Here is a 15,425-nt window from a genome sequence, read left to right as displayed (position 1 = left end):
GGAGTCAGACCAGAGGTGTATCTAAAACAGACAGAGGGCAGGAGGTCTCTGACTCAATGCCAGCATGAGGGAAGATGTATGTCAGAGGATAAAAGGGGAAGAAAGAAATACATACAACCAGAGACAAGGTTATTGATGCTTACTTTTTATTCTATTTAAGGTCTTGTATATTAAACGATGCTACTTTTATTCTATTTAAGGTCCTGTATATTAAAAGATGAAGATGTGCATCAAATTTGGCTCACACAATATGCACCCACTTAAACATATTTAAAAGCTTATCCAATAAAAAGGAGCAGAAAGTTAAATGTGACTCACCATCTCATCCTTGTTGGAAATCATCTGTGAGGCATGTTTTTCTTCCTCTTTTATCAACAATTTCTCATACAGGTCACTGACAATAAATGAAGGGTAATACCTATCCTTTAGGGTCTCATAAACATCTTCCTGGATTTTGTAGAATACTTCAATACCTTTATTTCCTACAAGACACTGCTGAATTTCTTTGTAAAGTGATTTTTCCACAGATATTTCTTTGCTCTCCACAAAGAAATTCTGATAAATTTCACCAACTAATTGTGGAATTTCATTCTGAAAAGACAGGAAGATAAGGAAAAGTAAGACATATCATCTCTGAGAGAAATTATTTTTCTCTGAATTATTTGCATTTGAAAGTCAGAAGAAAGACATTTAAGATGCACCCTGGTATGTAGAATTTTGTGTCCATATTCAGGGTCAAGGAGCAAATGTCAGATCCTAAAAAAAAAAAAACTAATTCTTTAAATGAACATGTTGAACAGTTAACACCTGCAATTTATTTTAAACACTGGAGGGGGCAAAAACAGAATAAGAACAGTTCTCTTCCTGCAATAGATTCCTTTTCATAAATCTCAATTCCACAAGAAGAAAATGTATTAGCTAATGTCAATTTAACTTTTTACCTAATATAAGTAACTAGAAGTGCCATTTCTCATCCCAGAAAGAAGTCAATATAATAATTGTGTAACTCAGAAAAACGAGAAAAACACTCTTCAGAATGACTACTTCAGAATGATTATGTCCTAGTCAAGCTTATATTAGACAGCTTTGTCTTCAGCAATGAGCCTGTGTCATCACCAGCCTACTTCAGAAATGCAAAACATCTCTTTGGATTAACATAATCTTTACAGTTCCTCTAGAGGCATTACATTAACTCTAGAAATGTTACGCAGTTTTCAACAATAGTAAAGAGCAAAGGCATACAACTTAATGAACATAACTAATTTAACATACATCCCAGAATGTTAACATCCAAATCAATGTTGCTAGATCAAAATAAGGCTATTTCGAGGAAGCTAGCTGCTCTTACTCCATTGAAATATTTCAAATTCTCTTCCATAGTTTAGGAAAACCTTTTTAGATTGCTCTTTACAATATTCCTTTGAGAACAACCAGAAGTTATGTGGAGTCAAAACTGGTGAATAAAATGAGTAATAGAGTTAGCAACTACAATATTGGATAAAATTAGGTAATTTGGGGCTTGTAAATTAACAATAAAAGATTTAAAGACACTATAGGACTGGATTTAGTTCCTTAACAAATATAGTTTGTGACTTACAATATATTTGGCAGTCTATTCTGGCAACATTCATATGAAAATGAGTAATTCAGTGTACAATATGCTCTTGGTGCTTCCCCCCCACCTTCCCCAAGACCAAATCTTGCTGTCGCCCAGGCTGGAGTGTAGTGGCGTGATCTCGGCTTACTGCAACCTCCACCTTCCCAGGTTCAAGCAATTCTCTTGCCTCAGCCTCCCAAGTAGCTGGGATTACAGGCCCACATCACCACGCCTGGCTAATTTTTGTATTTTTAGTAGAGACAGGGTTTCACCATGTCGGCCAGGCTGGTCTTGAACTCCTGACCTTGTGAACTGTCCACCTTGGCCTCCCAAAGTGCTGGGATTACAGGCGTGAGCCACCGCATCCAGCCTCTTGGTACTTATTTTAATAAACCTCTTACAATAGTATATACTGATCACATATGTCACATGTTATAGATATTATTGTGTACATTTACAGACATATACATACATATACGGTTGCCCCTCGGGATCTATGGAAGATTGGTTCTAAGATCTCCTGAAGATACCAAAATCCGAGGACATTCAAGTCCCTGATATAAAATGGTGCAGCGTTTTTGCGTGTAACTATGTACATTCTCTCATATATTTTAAATCCTCTCTAGATTACTTATACCTAATACAACGTAAATGCTCCGTAAATGGCTGATTTTGTATTTTTAGGAAATAATGACAAGGAAAAAGGTCTGTACATGTTCAGTACAGATGCAGTTTTTTTCCCCCCAAATATTTTCAGTCCATGGTTGGTTGAATCTACAGATATAGAACCCACAGATAAGGAAGGCTGACTGTATACATAAAGACTGTGTACACTTAATTCTTAAATATTTATTGCCAAATGCAAAGCATGATGCTGATTATTGGGATCTTCACTGTAAGATGTATGTGTACCCCAAAATAATTTTATTTTCCTTTATTCATATTTAAATTGAAATAAAAGCTGGCTGCGGTGGCTCATGACTGTAATCCCAGTACTTTGGGAGGCCCACGTGGACAGATCACCTGAGGTCAGGAGTTCGCGACCAGTCTGGCCAACACGGTAAAACCCCGTCTCTACTAAAAATACAAAAATTAGCTGGGTGTGGTAGCACACACCTGTAATCCCAGCTACTCGGGAGTGTGAGGGAGGAGAACCGCTTGAACCTGGGAGGCTGAGGTTGCAGTGAGCCGAGATCGCCCCACTGCACTCCAGCCTGGGTAAAAGAGTAAGGCTCCGTCTCAAAAAAAAAAAAAAAAAATTGAAATGAAAGGCAAAGTATAAAACATGCACATTATGATATTATAAATGGCAAGATTATGAGACTGAAGTGTAGGTGAGGGGGCCAAATTCATTATAATAGTAATGTGGATATGTATATGTCTTTTTACAATGTGTAAAAAAAATACCCAAAACTAAATTCAATCTCTTGGTACATTTATAAAACCTTTTTTCCCTTGACTACACATTCAAAAGAATCTTCTGTAAAAATATAATGTAATTTTATTTGCCATTATGGGCTAGAACATAATGTCAGTATTATATTTGGTTTAAAATATTTTTAATGTATACTTATCTTGAGAAAAACAGACATGCTGCCTCACATGCCAAGTTTACATCAGCTAGTGATTAATATTCCTTTCAGCCTACATATACTACCTTGTTAGCATTCTTTAAATGTTCCACAGATTCCCAAAAACTAATCAGAGCTCTTTTGTCCATCCTTTCCATGTACATTCCAAAGTGCTCTCGGTAGAACGTATTGGCCAAGATATCTTCAAACTGAAGAATCTATTAAGAGAATTTAAGAAAACTTTTTTTAAAATCGAATTTTAAATGTCAGTTTGCTTTAACTTCCAATGGACTGATTTCTACATTTAGGGTAAAAATGCATTTTTTAAAGGAATAAAGTAAAATTTTATTGTAGTAATTTACTATTTATTTATTTAAGTAAATGTACAGGTTTGTTACATAGGTATATATGTGCTGTGGTGGTTTGCTGTACCTATTGACCAGTCCTCTAAGTTCTCTCCCCTTGCCCCCACCCCCAATAGGCCCTGGTGTGTGTTGTTCCCCTCCCTGTGTCCATGTGTTCTCATTGTTCAGCTCCCACTTACGAGTGAGAACATGTGGTGTTTGGTTTTCTGTTCCTGTGTTAGTTTGCTGAGGATGATGGCCTCTAGCTTCATCCATGTCTCTGCAAAGGACATGATCTCATTCCTTTTTGTGGCTGCATAGTATTCCATGATGTATATGTACCACATTTTCTTTATCTAGTCTATCACTGATGGGCATTTGGGCTGCTTCCATGACTTTGCTATTGTAAACAGTGCTGCAATAAACATACACATGCAAGTGTCTGTATAGCAGAATGGTTTATATTCCCTTGGGTATAGATGCAGTAATGGGATTGCTGAGTCAAATGGTGTTTCTGGTTTTAGATTCTCAAGGAATCGTCATACTGTCTTCCACAATGGTTAAAGTAATTTACATTCCCACCAACAGTGTAAAAGCGTTCCTATTTCTCCACAGCCTTGCCAGCATCCATTGTTTCTTGACTTTTTAATAATTGCCATTCTGACTGGCATGAGATGGTATCTCATCGTGGTCTTGATTTACATTTCTCTAATGATCAGTGATGCTGAGCTGAAAACATGCATTTTTTAAGGTCAGAGTTGATGTAATATAGTACTCCTGGTAAACTGAAATACCTCTTACTACATTTTAAATAGAATAAAGCTTACTGAATATTTAAAATGCACATACTGAAAAAATACCAATTTCCTATTAACCATTCACTCACTGGACAAAGATTTATTTGGCATTGTAAACCAGAAAGTATCTGAGACAGGTCTCAATCAGTTTAGAAGTTTATTTTGCCAAGATTAAGGACATGCCTGGAAGAAATAAACAAGGAGTCACAGAAACAGTCTGTGGTCTGTGCCTTTCTCCAAAGATGACTTTGAGTGCTTCAATATTTAAAGGGGAAAAGTGATAAAAAAAAAAAAAAGAATGGACTTTCCCAGGCCAGCTGTGGTGGCTCACGACTGTAATCCCAGCACTGTGGCAGGCCAAGGCGGGCAGATCACCTGAGATCAGGAGTTCAAGACCAGCCTGACCAACACGGAGAAACCCCGTCTCTACTAAAAATAAAAAAAATTAGCTGGGCGTGGTGGTGCATGCCTGTAATCCCAGCTACTTGGGAGGCTGAGGCAGGAGAATTGCTTGAACCCAGGAGGCAGAGGTTGTTGTGAACTGAGATTGCACCATTGCACTCCAGCCTGGGCAACAAGAGGGAAACTCCATCAAAAAAAAAAAAAAAAAAAAAAAGGACTTTCTCAAAGAAAATGTATTTAAATGTCTGCACCAATAATTCCAGCATGTGTATGAATAAATATGATATGTCCTTTAAAAAAAAAAAAATAAAAAAAATAAAATAAAATAAAGGGGAAAAGTGGGCTGGAGGGGAAAGGAGGAGAGTATGGTAATCCACGTGTTCCAAACAAAAAGGAGCAGGCAGGGCAACAGTCAATTATGTAATCCTCTGTACTTTACATAAGATAAGGCAAACACAGAGTAGCTACCTGTGGAGATATTGAACCTTCTATCTGTAGCTTCTGCTGAGGAACAAAAGGAAAGACAGCTTCCTGCATGACTCAGCTTTCAGCTTAACTTTTTTCATTTGGCATCGTGAATTAGGGTGTTAAGTTTTTATCTTCCTTTCACAGCATTTACTTGGTATCAGGTACAGTTCTAGGAATGAAACAGATAAAAATCCCTACCCTATGGGATGCACATTCTATGCTAAAAATAGTAAGTGCCAATAATGGAAAAATTGAAGAGAAATGTATAAAAGACAAGGACACTGGGATCTAATAGTTTCACGTTTTTGTTTTCCATCTTATTTTTATCTATTGGAGGGATCTACAAATAATGTTATACCCTGCCTTTTTGTTTACAGTATCAACCATATTCATTAAAAAAATCTCCTGTAAGCATCCTTTTAATAAGCCCATAAAATTCCTCCGTATGGATGTACCAAAATAAGCCCATCTACTTGTTTGCTGTTTTACATACTCACAGGAAAAGAAAAAGAACCTATCTGAAGACACAGAAGGAACAATCGAGTATGGACTGCTGTAATACAGCAGATGACCTTCATAATAATTCGTGACAATGAATTAGGAAAAATGCCTCACATTAATTTAGGAGGAATTTAAGGCCTATATTCTTAGTTCTGAATTAGTAATAAAAAATTACATGCAATTAGTAGAATTCAAATGCAATTAAATAAAAACTTACATTTTGAAATTCTTAAAATTATGAGTTGGCAAATTTTCAGAAATGTCACCAGTAAGATATTTCTAAAATCAAGTGCATACCATCAGTGTATTACACTCAACTCTTCTGACACCAACAATGAGCCCCTGCTTAATCTGTTTTGTGGGCAGAAGGGGGCAGGCATTTTCTTTCTTTTTTATTTTTTCTGAGGATGATGCAGTATATCCATTTATTTACTTTTCATAATGCTTCCAGCAGAGGGTCTATTCAGATTTTCCAGTACGTTTCTTTTTTTAAATTTTACTTTAAATTCTGGGATACATGAACAGAATGTGAAGTTTCTGGTATACATGTGCCATGGTGGTTTGCTGCACTTATCTACCCGTCATCTAGGTTTTAAGCCCCACATGCATTAGGTATTTGTTCTAATGCTCTCCCTCCCCTTAACCCTCACCCCCCGACAGGCCCCAGTGTGTGATGTTCCCCTCCCTGTGTCCATGTGTTCTCATTGTTCTACTACCACTTATGAGTGAAAACATGTGGTGTTTCGTTTTCTAGCTTCATCCATGTCCCTGCAAGGACATGAACTCATTCTTTTTTATGGCTGCATAGTACTCCATGGTGTATATGTGCCACATTTTCTTCTTCCAGTCTATCATTGATGGGCATTTGGGTTGGTTCCATGACTTTGCTATTGTAAATAGTGCTGTAATAAACATACAAGTGCATGTGTCTTTACAGCAGAATGATTTATAATCCTTTGGGTATAAACCCAGTAACAGTATTGCTGGGTCACAGGGTATTTCTGGTTCTAGATCCTTGAGGAATCACCACACTGTCTTCCACAACGGTTGAACTAATTTACACTCCTACCAACAGTGTAAAAGCATTACTATTTCTCCACAGCCTCGTCAGCATCTGTTGTTTCCCGACTTTTTAATAATCGCCATTCTAACTGGTGTGAGACGGTAGCTCATTGTGGTTTTGATTTGCATTTCTCTAATGACCAGTGATGATGAGCTTTTTTTTCATATGTTTGTTGGCCACATAAATGTCTTCTTTTGAGAAATGTCTGTTCATATCCTTTGCCCACTTTTTGATGGGGTTGTTTTTTTCTTGTAAATTTGTTTAAGTTCCTTGTAGATTCTGGATATTAGACCTTTGTCAGATGTGTAGATTGCAAAAACTTTCTCCCATTCTATAGGCTGCCAGGGAAGGCATTTTCTATCAGCTCCTAGTAACTAAGGACTTGGATATCCCTTGCTACAGACCATTAATAATTCGTTTCTATAAATATTTCAGACCAATAATATTTAGTTAGTTTACTAGCTGTGGAACACTATAACATTTGACTTTATGTAAACTCTACCAGTGAAGCATTTTGAAGCACAAAATCCTAACTGTACATGCTCCAAAGAGGTTTAAAGGAACCCATATCAATTTGGCTAGGGAAGATGGGCCAACAACTCCAGTATCAACAGAAAGAGCCAGGAAACCCTTTCACACTCAAGTCGAGTCCTGGCTGCATTTGGCAGTGTTCATTTTGGCTTGACCCTGGGTCAAATAAGTAAACTGATATGTAAATTGGCCTTAAAGAAAAGATCTGCCATTTATTGCCACTGATTTCCAAACTCCATGTACTCCTATTTCCATTTCCTCTTCAACCCTTATTTTAATTCTTCCTTCCATCTTTCCATTTTGGGGCCACTGGTGTGGGGGGTGCTACCTTGCAAAAAGATAAGGCAACACAGACTTTTTGTTTTCAAAACAAAGCAAGATAGGAAGGCAACACTGTGCAGTTAGAGTTGCTCAGGCTTTGGAGGTAGATACATGTAGGTTTCAATCCTGACTCTGCGACTTTCCAGTTCTGTGAGCTCTATGTTACTCTATCTCTCTGCGCCTCAGTTTTTTCACCCATAAAATGTGAATAATACCATCTACTTTCCAGGTTGTTCGGAGACTTGTTAATAATAACTGTTCTGAATCACGAAAGACAACAACAAAAACTAATCAGGAAGAGCCTGAACCAGGAGAAAGAGAAGGCACTGATAAGTGCCAAAAATCAGGATAGTTAAGAAGTCACTTTCTAGTTACATAAATATGGATAAAAGGATTAGCAGTGATTCTCAACTGGGCTCCAAAGAGAAATTACAAAGGACATAAAAAACTTTTGTGGGTGATGGATCTGTTTATTATCTTGATTGTGGCAATGGTTTCATTGAATATATGTGTATGTCAAAACTTATCATATTGTACACTTTAAATATGAGCAGTATATTGCATGTCATTATACCTTAATTAAGCTGTTTAAAAAATAAATATTCCATCAAGCCTTAATAATAGCATTGCAAAGAAATGAAGTAGACAATGATTATACTAAGGACCCACTGTCAGGAGAACATATACTGATGTTATCTTTGTGAATTACAGATTGTTGAATCTGATTTACCAGTATTTTTGTTAAGGACTTTTCTGTCCAGGGTCATGAGAGACACCATTTTGAAGTTTTTTTTTCCTCTGGTTTGGTATTAGAATTGTGCTAGTCTCCTCCTAGGATGAGTTGAAGTGTTCCCTTCTCCGTTTTTTGAAAGAGTATGGTTAAGATTGGTATTATCTCTTCCTTACATGTTTTATAGAATTTACCAGTGAGGCCAGACACAGTGGCTCATGCCTGTAATCCCAGCACTTTGGGAGACAGAGGCAGGCGGATCACCTGAACTTAGCAGGTTGAGACCAGCCTGGCCAACATGGTGAAGCCCTGTCTCTACTAAAAATACAAACATTAGCTGGGCGTGGTGGTGCACGCCTGTAATTCCAGGTACTCGGGAGGCTGAGGGAGGAGAATTGCTTGAATCTGGGAGGCGGAGGGTGCAGTGAGCTGAGATGGCACCACTGCACTCCAGCCTGAACAACAGAGGAAGACTCCACCTCAAAAAAAAAAAAAAAAAAATCACCAGTGAAATGATCTGAGTCTGGAGTTCTGTGGGAAGGTTTTCTTTTCTTTTCTTTTTTTTTGAGATGGAGTCTTGCTCTGTCTCTGAGGCTGGAGTGCAGTGGCACAATCTCGGCTCACTGCAAGCTCCGCCTCCCAGGTTCACGCCCTTCTCCTGCCTCAGCCTCCTGAGTAGCTGGGACTACAGGCGCCCACCACCGCGCCCGGCTAATTTTTTGTATTTTTAGTAGAGACGGGGTTTCACTGTGTTAGCCAGGATGGTCTCGATCTCCTGACCTCGTGATCCGCCCGCCTCGGCCTCCCAAAGTGCTGGGACTACAGGCGTGAGCCACCGCGCCCAGCCGGGAAGGTTTTAGATTATTATTATATTCTTCAATAAATTGTGGGTTATTCAGAGTTTCTATTTCTTTTTGTCTTTTTTTTTTTTTTTTTTGAGACAGAGTCTCACTTTGTCGCCAGGCTTGAGTGCAGTGGCGTGATCTCGGCTCACTGCAACTTCCGCCTCCCGGGTTCAAGTGATTCTTCTGCCGCAGCCTCCCGAGTACCTGGGATTATAGGTGCCCACCACCACTCCCAGCTAATTTTTGTATTTTTAGTAGAGATGGGGTGTCACCAAGTTGGCCAGGATGGTCTCGATCTCTTGACCTCGTGATCCGCCTGCCTCAGCCTCCTAAAGTGTTGGGATTACAGGCGTGAGCCACTGCGCCCAGCCTCCATTTCTTTTTGAATCAGTTTTGGTAATTTGTGTCTTCCAGGGAATTTGTCTCTTCCATTTAAATTGTCAAATTTATTGGCTTGAAGTTGTCCACATTATTCCCTTAGCCTCCTTTGAATGTATGTAGCATCTGTTAGTGATGTCCTATTTCATTCCTAATACTGGCAATTTGTATCTTTTTTCTTTCCTTCCTTCTAGTTATTTTAGTTTTTATTTACAGCTTCTTTTAATTTTTTTTTTTTTTTTTTTTGTAGAGAGGGGAGTCTTGTATGTTCCCAGGCTGGTCTCTAACTCCTGGCCTCAAGCGATCCTCCTGTCTTTGCCCGCCAAGTGCTGGAATTACCAGCATGAGCCCCCTCACTGGGCCAATTTATAGCTTCTTAAAAGATTAGATCACTGATTTCATACCTTTCTTCGCTTCTGCTATAAGCATTAAAAAGTACAGTTGACCCTTGAGCAACATGAGTTTGAGCTGCACAGGCCCACTCGTACAGGGTTTTCTTCCACATCTGCCGCCCCTGACACAGCAAGACTGACCCCTCTTCCTCCTGCTCTGCCTAGACAACAGGAAGATGATGCGGATGAAAACCCTTGTGATGATCCACTTCCACTTAGTGAGTAGTAAAAATATTTTCTCTTCCTTATGATTTTCTTAGTAACATTTTCATTTGTCTTTATAGCCTACTTTATTCTAACAGTACAGTATATAATACACATAACATACAAGATCTGTGTTAACTGACTATTATTGGTAAGGCTTCCAGTTAATAGTAGGATATGGGCAGTTAAGCTTTTGGAGACTCCATAGTTATATGTGAATTTTTGCTCAGGGGAGAGTCAGCACTCCTAACCCCCACATTGTTCAAGGGCCAACTGTACATAATTCCTGTAAGTGGTGCTTTAACTGCACAATATATCCCACAATATACATATCATAATGTATCCCACAAATAATTGTGGGATATATTGCATATTCACTCCATTGAAAATAGTTCCTAATTTTCCTTATAATTTCTTCTTTGATGGAAGCCTTATTTAGATATGCTACCAAATATTTGGGAATTTTCCAGATTTTCCTATTACTGATATTACTGAGGGGGACTGTTAACATTTCCAACTCTACTTGTGACATTTTTTCTCATTTCTGTCAGGTTTCGCTTCATGTACACTCTAAAGGTCTCTTTATTGATTGAGAACATTTGATTATTCTATCTTCCTGACGAACTGACTCCTTTATCATAATGAAAGGTTCTTCATCTCTGGTTCTACTTCCTGTTCCGAAGTCTATTTTGTCTGATATTCACAGTAGCTGCTCTAGATCTCTTATACTTAGTATTCGCATGTCTTTTTCCCTCTTACTTCCAACTTATCTGTGCCTTTATGTTTAGTTTCTTGTAAGCAACATATAACTGCCTTGCCTTTTAAAAAATTCACTCTGAATCTTTCTTTTAATTGGAGGATTAACCTGATTTGGAAGTCTAAATTCTGAAATAAAGTTAATGGTAATTCTTCTGGATCACATATGATTAGGTCATAGCAAAAGTTTTCTTCCCACTCATGAAGACATCAGAATGGCCCCAAACTAACCAAAGTCTTACCTTTCAAATAGCAAATGACCATAACTATTGGAATTCTGTCTTATCTTAGCCTTCCATCCTGAAGATTAGAGGAAATGGTTTTACTCTGAGGATGAATTATTGCAACAGAAATGAGTTTCTCTTTTCCTGAATGTCTGAAAAGAACAAATCAAGGCCAGGCGCAGTGGCTCACGCCTGTAATCCCAACACACTGGAATGCTGAGGTGGGCAGATCATGAGGTCAGGATATCGAGACCATCCTGCCTAACACAGTGAAACCGCGTCTCTACTAAAGATACAAAAAAAATTTAGCTGGGTGTGGTGGCGGGCGTCTGTAGTCCCAGCTGCTCGGGAGGCTGAGGCAGGAGAATGGCCTGAACCCGGGAGGTGGAGGTTGCAGTGAGCCGATATCGCGCCAATGCATGCCAGCCTGGGCGACAGAGTGAGACTCCATCTCAAAAAAAAAAAAAAAGAACAAATCAAAAATGATCTGGCACTCTGGGTTAAGTCTACTTCTAGTAGACACTGCCAGATAGACAACCTGTACTGAAATCACATTTAATTCTCCCAAAATGAGTTTCCATTATCTTTCTTGAGATCTTCCTGTACCACAACATCTAAAAGCATATCATCTTTTGACTAGGTAGCAAGCCATTATGTGCTTCTCCTAGGTATTTATCTCATATCTCTACTGGATCACTTACCTTTTTATTTTATAATTATATGGGACTCTTTGAGAGCAGGGATTCTATCTTATTTATTTTTAATCCTAGTACCTAGCACTGTAACTGAGATGTTGTGGGCCCTCAATAAATGTCTGTTGAATGAATGAATGAATGAATGGGACATAAGACAAAGACCTCATCTACAATAAATGTGGCTAGAAATTAATCTAAGAGGCCAAAACCAAAAAGCTAATGAGGAGGAGGAAGGGGGCAATATTCAACCTGTCAAATCTACCATCTCTCTGATTCACCAAAATGCTACATTTCCATCTGGAACACAATGCCAGTATCTCAAAAATTTTATTTTATTTTATTTTATTTTGCTAATAGCAACATCAACAGACTTCCTGTGGTTAGAGGATTATAAAAACAAGAGTTCCTTGGAGCTGCATTTGCACCACTTGTGTAAGATGCTGTAGAACCCTGGCGTATGCTGGGGCTGGCCCTTCCTGCAGAGGCTCTAACAGAGACTAGCCAGAAACTAAGAAAGTCAAGGCTGATCACTGGAATAGGGAGGCAGGGGAACATCACAGATGAGTAGCTGAAGTAGAACCGAGAGCTAAACAGGAAAGAATCAAGAGACTGAAAATCAGAACAAGTGAGGTTAGAGGCTGTAGCTTGAGTTACATTATACCAGTGTTGGCCTCTTTGTAGCTAAAGGACACATTACAGAGAGGAGTCTGGCATCTGCTTTGAGGTCCTGTTCCTTCCACGGCACAGCTAAGCTCCTGAGTGGGTCACGTGGCTGCTTCCTTCTATCTTAGTATGCTCCAGGTCTTGGAAGACAAGTTTGGTCCTTCAGAGTTAGGACAGGTACTGAGGTAGGGCTAAAACACTTCCCTAAGCTCCGTGATTTGGTTGGTATTGACAGACAGTCTGAAGTTTTACAGTACAAAAACAGTCAGAGAGATGTTATGGTTCAGTGAGAAAGCACTCACATTTGCAAACCAGTCAGATCTGGGTTTTTATCTTGTTCTAGCTTTTCCTATCTATGTGGTATTAGGCAAGATACTTAAACCCACCATTTCATCAATGAAGATATCAAGTAGAAATTTCATAATATTGTGGCAAGAGTTAAGTAAAAATAATTTAGAAGATGCCTCCTACTTCATAGGTGGTTATTTCTATTCAATTGATAATGGGAAACTTGATTGGAGTCTTGTAAATATAAATATGCTCTTCTGGGTCCTCTGGGGAGGACAAAGGGAAGATGGAAAAATATCCACACACGCACACACACATGCACACACCCAAGGCCTATCTATACCTATTACCACCCATACAGGTCAAGGACACCAAGGAATGTAGCTCCTTGACTCATAGAGCAAATGTCAGTGTGTAGTTATGGCACACATGTCTAAGTTCAATACTAAAAAGTTGAAAGTCTTTATATGTAGTTCTATCAGCATTTATAATAAACTTGGTAGGGTCAAAACAAGAAACTATAAAGTTCTACCTTCTGGCTTTGAGGCCCTTCCCCCTCATCCAGGGCCCCATCCTCTTGCTGGTCATAGGCAGGGCCTCCCAGGATTCGGATTCTCTTCTCACACTGCTTCTTTGCCACAGTCAGTTGGTTGATGTACCTCTTCATGTTCCTGGCCCTCAGGAGATCAGCTTTCATTGCCGCAGTTTCTTTACCTTGAATAGGAGTGAGAAACAGTACCTGGTCAGAGGACAAGGCATGAAAGGACACAGCAATTCAGAACCAGATCAGTGTCTGCTGTGGGCATTCTGAACCAAGTGGATACTAAACAAAATAACAGAACAGAATCCATGATAAATACATATACATACTCCCAAATAAAAATGCCAATCATTTCTAAATATAATTTCTAAATATACCACTGACAAATCTTACCCAAAGGTAAAACATTTTTTTAAAAAAACCTCTGTACAAATGCACTCACAAATCTGTGTGTGTATTCTTTAACATCTTTATATGAATGTGTACGTACAAATACTCATTCATAAGCATGTACTGGGTGCTAGTTATGTGTCAAGACACCAGCTAGGCTTTTGAGATTGAAGACCAATTGTTGGCTCTCATGGACTTTTAAGAGTCTAGCAAGTAAGAAATCCAAAGAGAGGAATCCAAGCACCTATAACACGGGCTATAAAGAAAACATGCAGATACCACTGAACTGTTTAACAGAAGATTCTAACTCAGGCTTCTTTGAGGAAATTATTTTAAACAAACATGAATAATGAGTAGAGTATGGCAGACAGAAAGAATAGCGAGTGTCAAAGTGAGAAACAGGCAGGAAAGAGAACAGAGCTTTCGAGGAACTGAAAGAAGGCCGTTAGAGCAGGTGCAAAAGGAGCCAGAAGATCCAAAATAACTCTGATGCTGGCAGAAGCCATGAGGTGCACAGCCTTTCAGGCCAGAGAAAGGCTCTAGCCCAAAAGTACTGAGAAGCTTTAATGGATTTTAAGCAGGAATGTGCCATAAATGTATTTGTATCTTTCATGATTACATAGGAAGCAGGATAAAAGATAGGTTGGAAGAAGGAAGGCTGCTAGGAGGAGGACCAGCTAGAAGACCATTGCAGTACAACTGAGGAGGGAGATAGTGATGGCCTACACCAGGGTTATGGCAGGCCAGTAGAGAGGACAAGAGGATGTCTGGACCCAGTGACTGGCTGGGCAGGGTAGAGGGTAGGTTGCCGAGGAATTAAAAGGTATCAAATATGGCTCCTAGGTTTCCAACATGAGAAGCCAGAGGGATGGTGGGGCCAATTACTAAGCTAGAAACACTGGAGAAAAAGCAGGTTTGTGGAAGATGCTAACTCAACTCTGGACAATATGGCAGGTGATATTTTCCAAAAACGGCTGCAATGTCTTCCATCTCACATGCTCTTTTTACGATGTCCCTCTGACAATCTGCCTCTGCAAAGTAGAATATGTTTCCTTTTCTTGAATCTGGTTGGGGTTACGAATATGACGAAAGTGATGCTATGACTTCCAAGGCTAGATCATAAAAGACCAAGGGCTTGGAGCTCTGGGTCACTATGTAAGTGGCTCACCTGCCCCGAGGCTTCCATGCTTTGAGGAAGCCTAAGCCATCAGTCCTTGGAGAGATCTATATGGAGAGGAACCGAGGCTCCCCGAACCACAGCTCTGGCTGAGATCTCAAGCTCATATTCAGCACCAATGAGGCACCGTGTGAGTACACCATCCTGAAAGTAAACCGTCCCACCCCAGTCAAGCCACTCCAGCTGACGTCACGTGACACAGAGAAGAGTCATTACTTCCAAACCCTGCCCAGATTGCAGCTTCATGAGCAAAATAAATGGCTGTTGTTAAAGACACTATGTTTTAGGGTAGTTTGTTACACAGTAAAAGACAACCAAACAGGCAAAATGAGTCTGCGGGCTTCTGAGCTACCTAGGTGGAGAGAGAAGGTCTAGAGTTCGGAAACATTCAGCTCTGGGATAGTAAATGACATCATGGGAGTGTGTGAGACAACCCAGGAGGAAACAAATAATCCTAGACACAACTGAGATAAACCTTACTCTTAAGAGTAAGGGGGAAGAGAAGCTGACAAGGGAGATCGTAAATATATCCTCATAAAAGTAGGTG

General features: G+C 39.4%; 1 protein-coding gene across 11 annotated transcripts in view, besides 5 other annotated features; it reads right to left on the bottom strand.

The window, feature by feature from the left end:
• The window catches only part of SNX25 (sorting nexin 25), a 174,406-nt gene that overhangs the window by 54,524 nt on the left and 104,457 nt on the right, over positions 1-15,425 (bottom strand). For 8 of the 11 annotated variants that reach the window (NR_186775.1, NM_001317781.2, NM_001423234.1 and 5 more), the window contains 3 exons: positions 13,303-13,484; positions 3,255-3,386; positions 319-591 (listed from right to left, as the gene is read on the bottom strand). Coding sequence is in view for 10 of the 11 variants with exons in the window: in NM_001317781.2 (NP_001304710.1) it covers positions 319-591; positions 3,255-3,386; positions 13,303-13,484 (587 nt within the window). In the remaining variant the exon portion in view is untranslated. Of the gene's footprint in view, positions 1-318; positions 592-3,254; positions 3,387-8,044; positions 11,576-12,127; positions 12,406-13,208; positions 13,485-15,425 lie in introns of those variants that run through there. The other 3 variants (NM_001378038.2, NM_001378039.2, NM_001378040.2) reach the window with 3 other exon arrangements.
• Positions 4,860-5,525: an enhancer, noted in NCBI's record as "OCT4-NANOG-H3K27ac hESC enhancer chr4:186239748-186240413 (GRCh37/hg19 assembly coordinates)". NCBI's record gives its function as "activates a minimal SCP1, AML or CMV promoter by ChIP-STARR-seq in primed H9 embryonic stem cells {active_cell/tissue: H9 hESC(primed)}" and the evidence as "EXISTENCE:reporter gene assay evidence [ECO:0000049][PMID:30033119]".
• Positions 5,130-5,424: an enhancer, noted in NCBI's record as "tiled region #12245; K562 Activating DNase matched - State 5:Enh". NCBI's record gives its function as "activates a minimal TATA promoter and a strong SV40 promoter by Sharpr-MPRA in K562 cells {active_cell/tissue: K562}" and the evidence as "EXISTENCE:reporter gene assay evidence [ECO:0000049][PMID:27701403]".
• Positions 13,448-13,497: an enhancer, noted in NCBI's record as "active region_22256". NCBI's record gives its function as "activates an Ori minimal core promoter by ATAC-STARR-seq in GM12878 lymphoblastoid cells {active_cell/tissue: GM12878}" and the evidence as "EXISTENCE:reporter gene assay evidence [ECO:0000049][PMID:35858748]".
• Positions 13,528-13,577: an enhancer, noted in NCBI's record as "active region_22255". NCBI's record gives its function as "activates an Ori minimal core promoter by ATAC-STARR-seq in GM12878 lymphoblastoid cells {active_cell/tissue: GM12878}" and the evidence as "EXISTENCE:reporter gene assay evidence [ECO:0000049][PMID:35858748]".
• Positions 14,167-14,526: an enhancer, noted in NCBI's record as "active region_22254". NCBI's record gives its function as "activates an Ori minimal core promoter by ATAC-STARR-seq in GM12878 lymphoblastoid cells {active_cell/tissue: GM12878}" and the evidence as "EXISTENCE:reporter gene assay evidence [ECO:0000049][PMID:35858748]".

This window comes from Homo sapiens, chromosome 4, assembly GCF_000001405.40.
Source record: "Homo sapiens chromosome 4, GRCh38.p14 Primary Assembly".
In the NCBI taxonomy this organism is placed as follows: Eukaryota; Metazoa; Chordata; class Mammalia; order Primates; family Hominidae; genus Homo; species Homo sapiens.
Note: the sequence above shows the minus strand (reverse complement) of the source record. Positions and strands in the feature narration are given on the sequence as shown.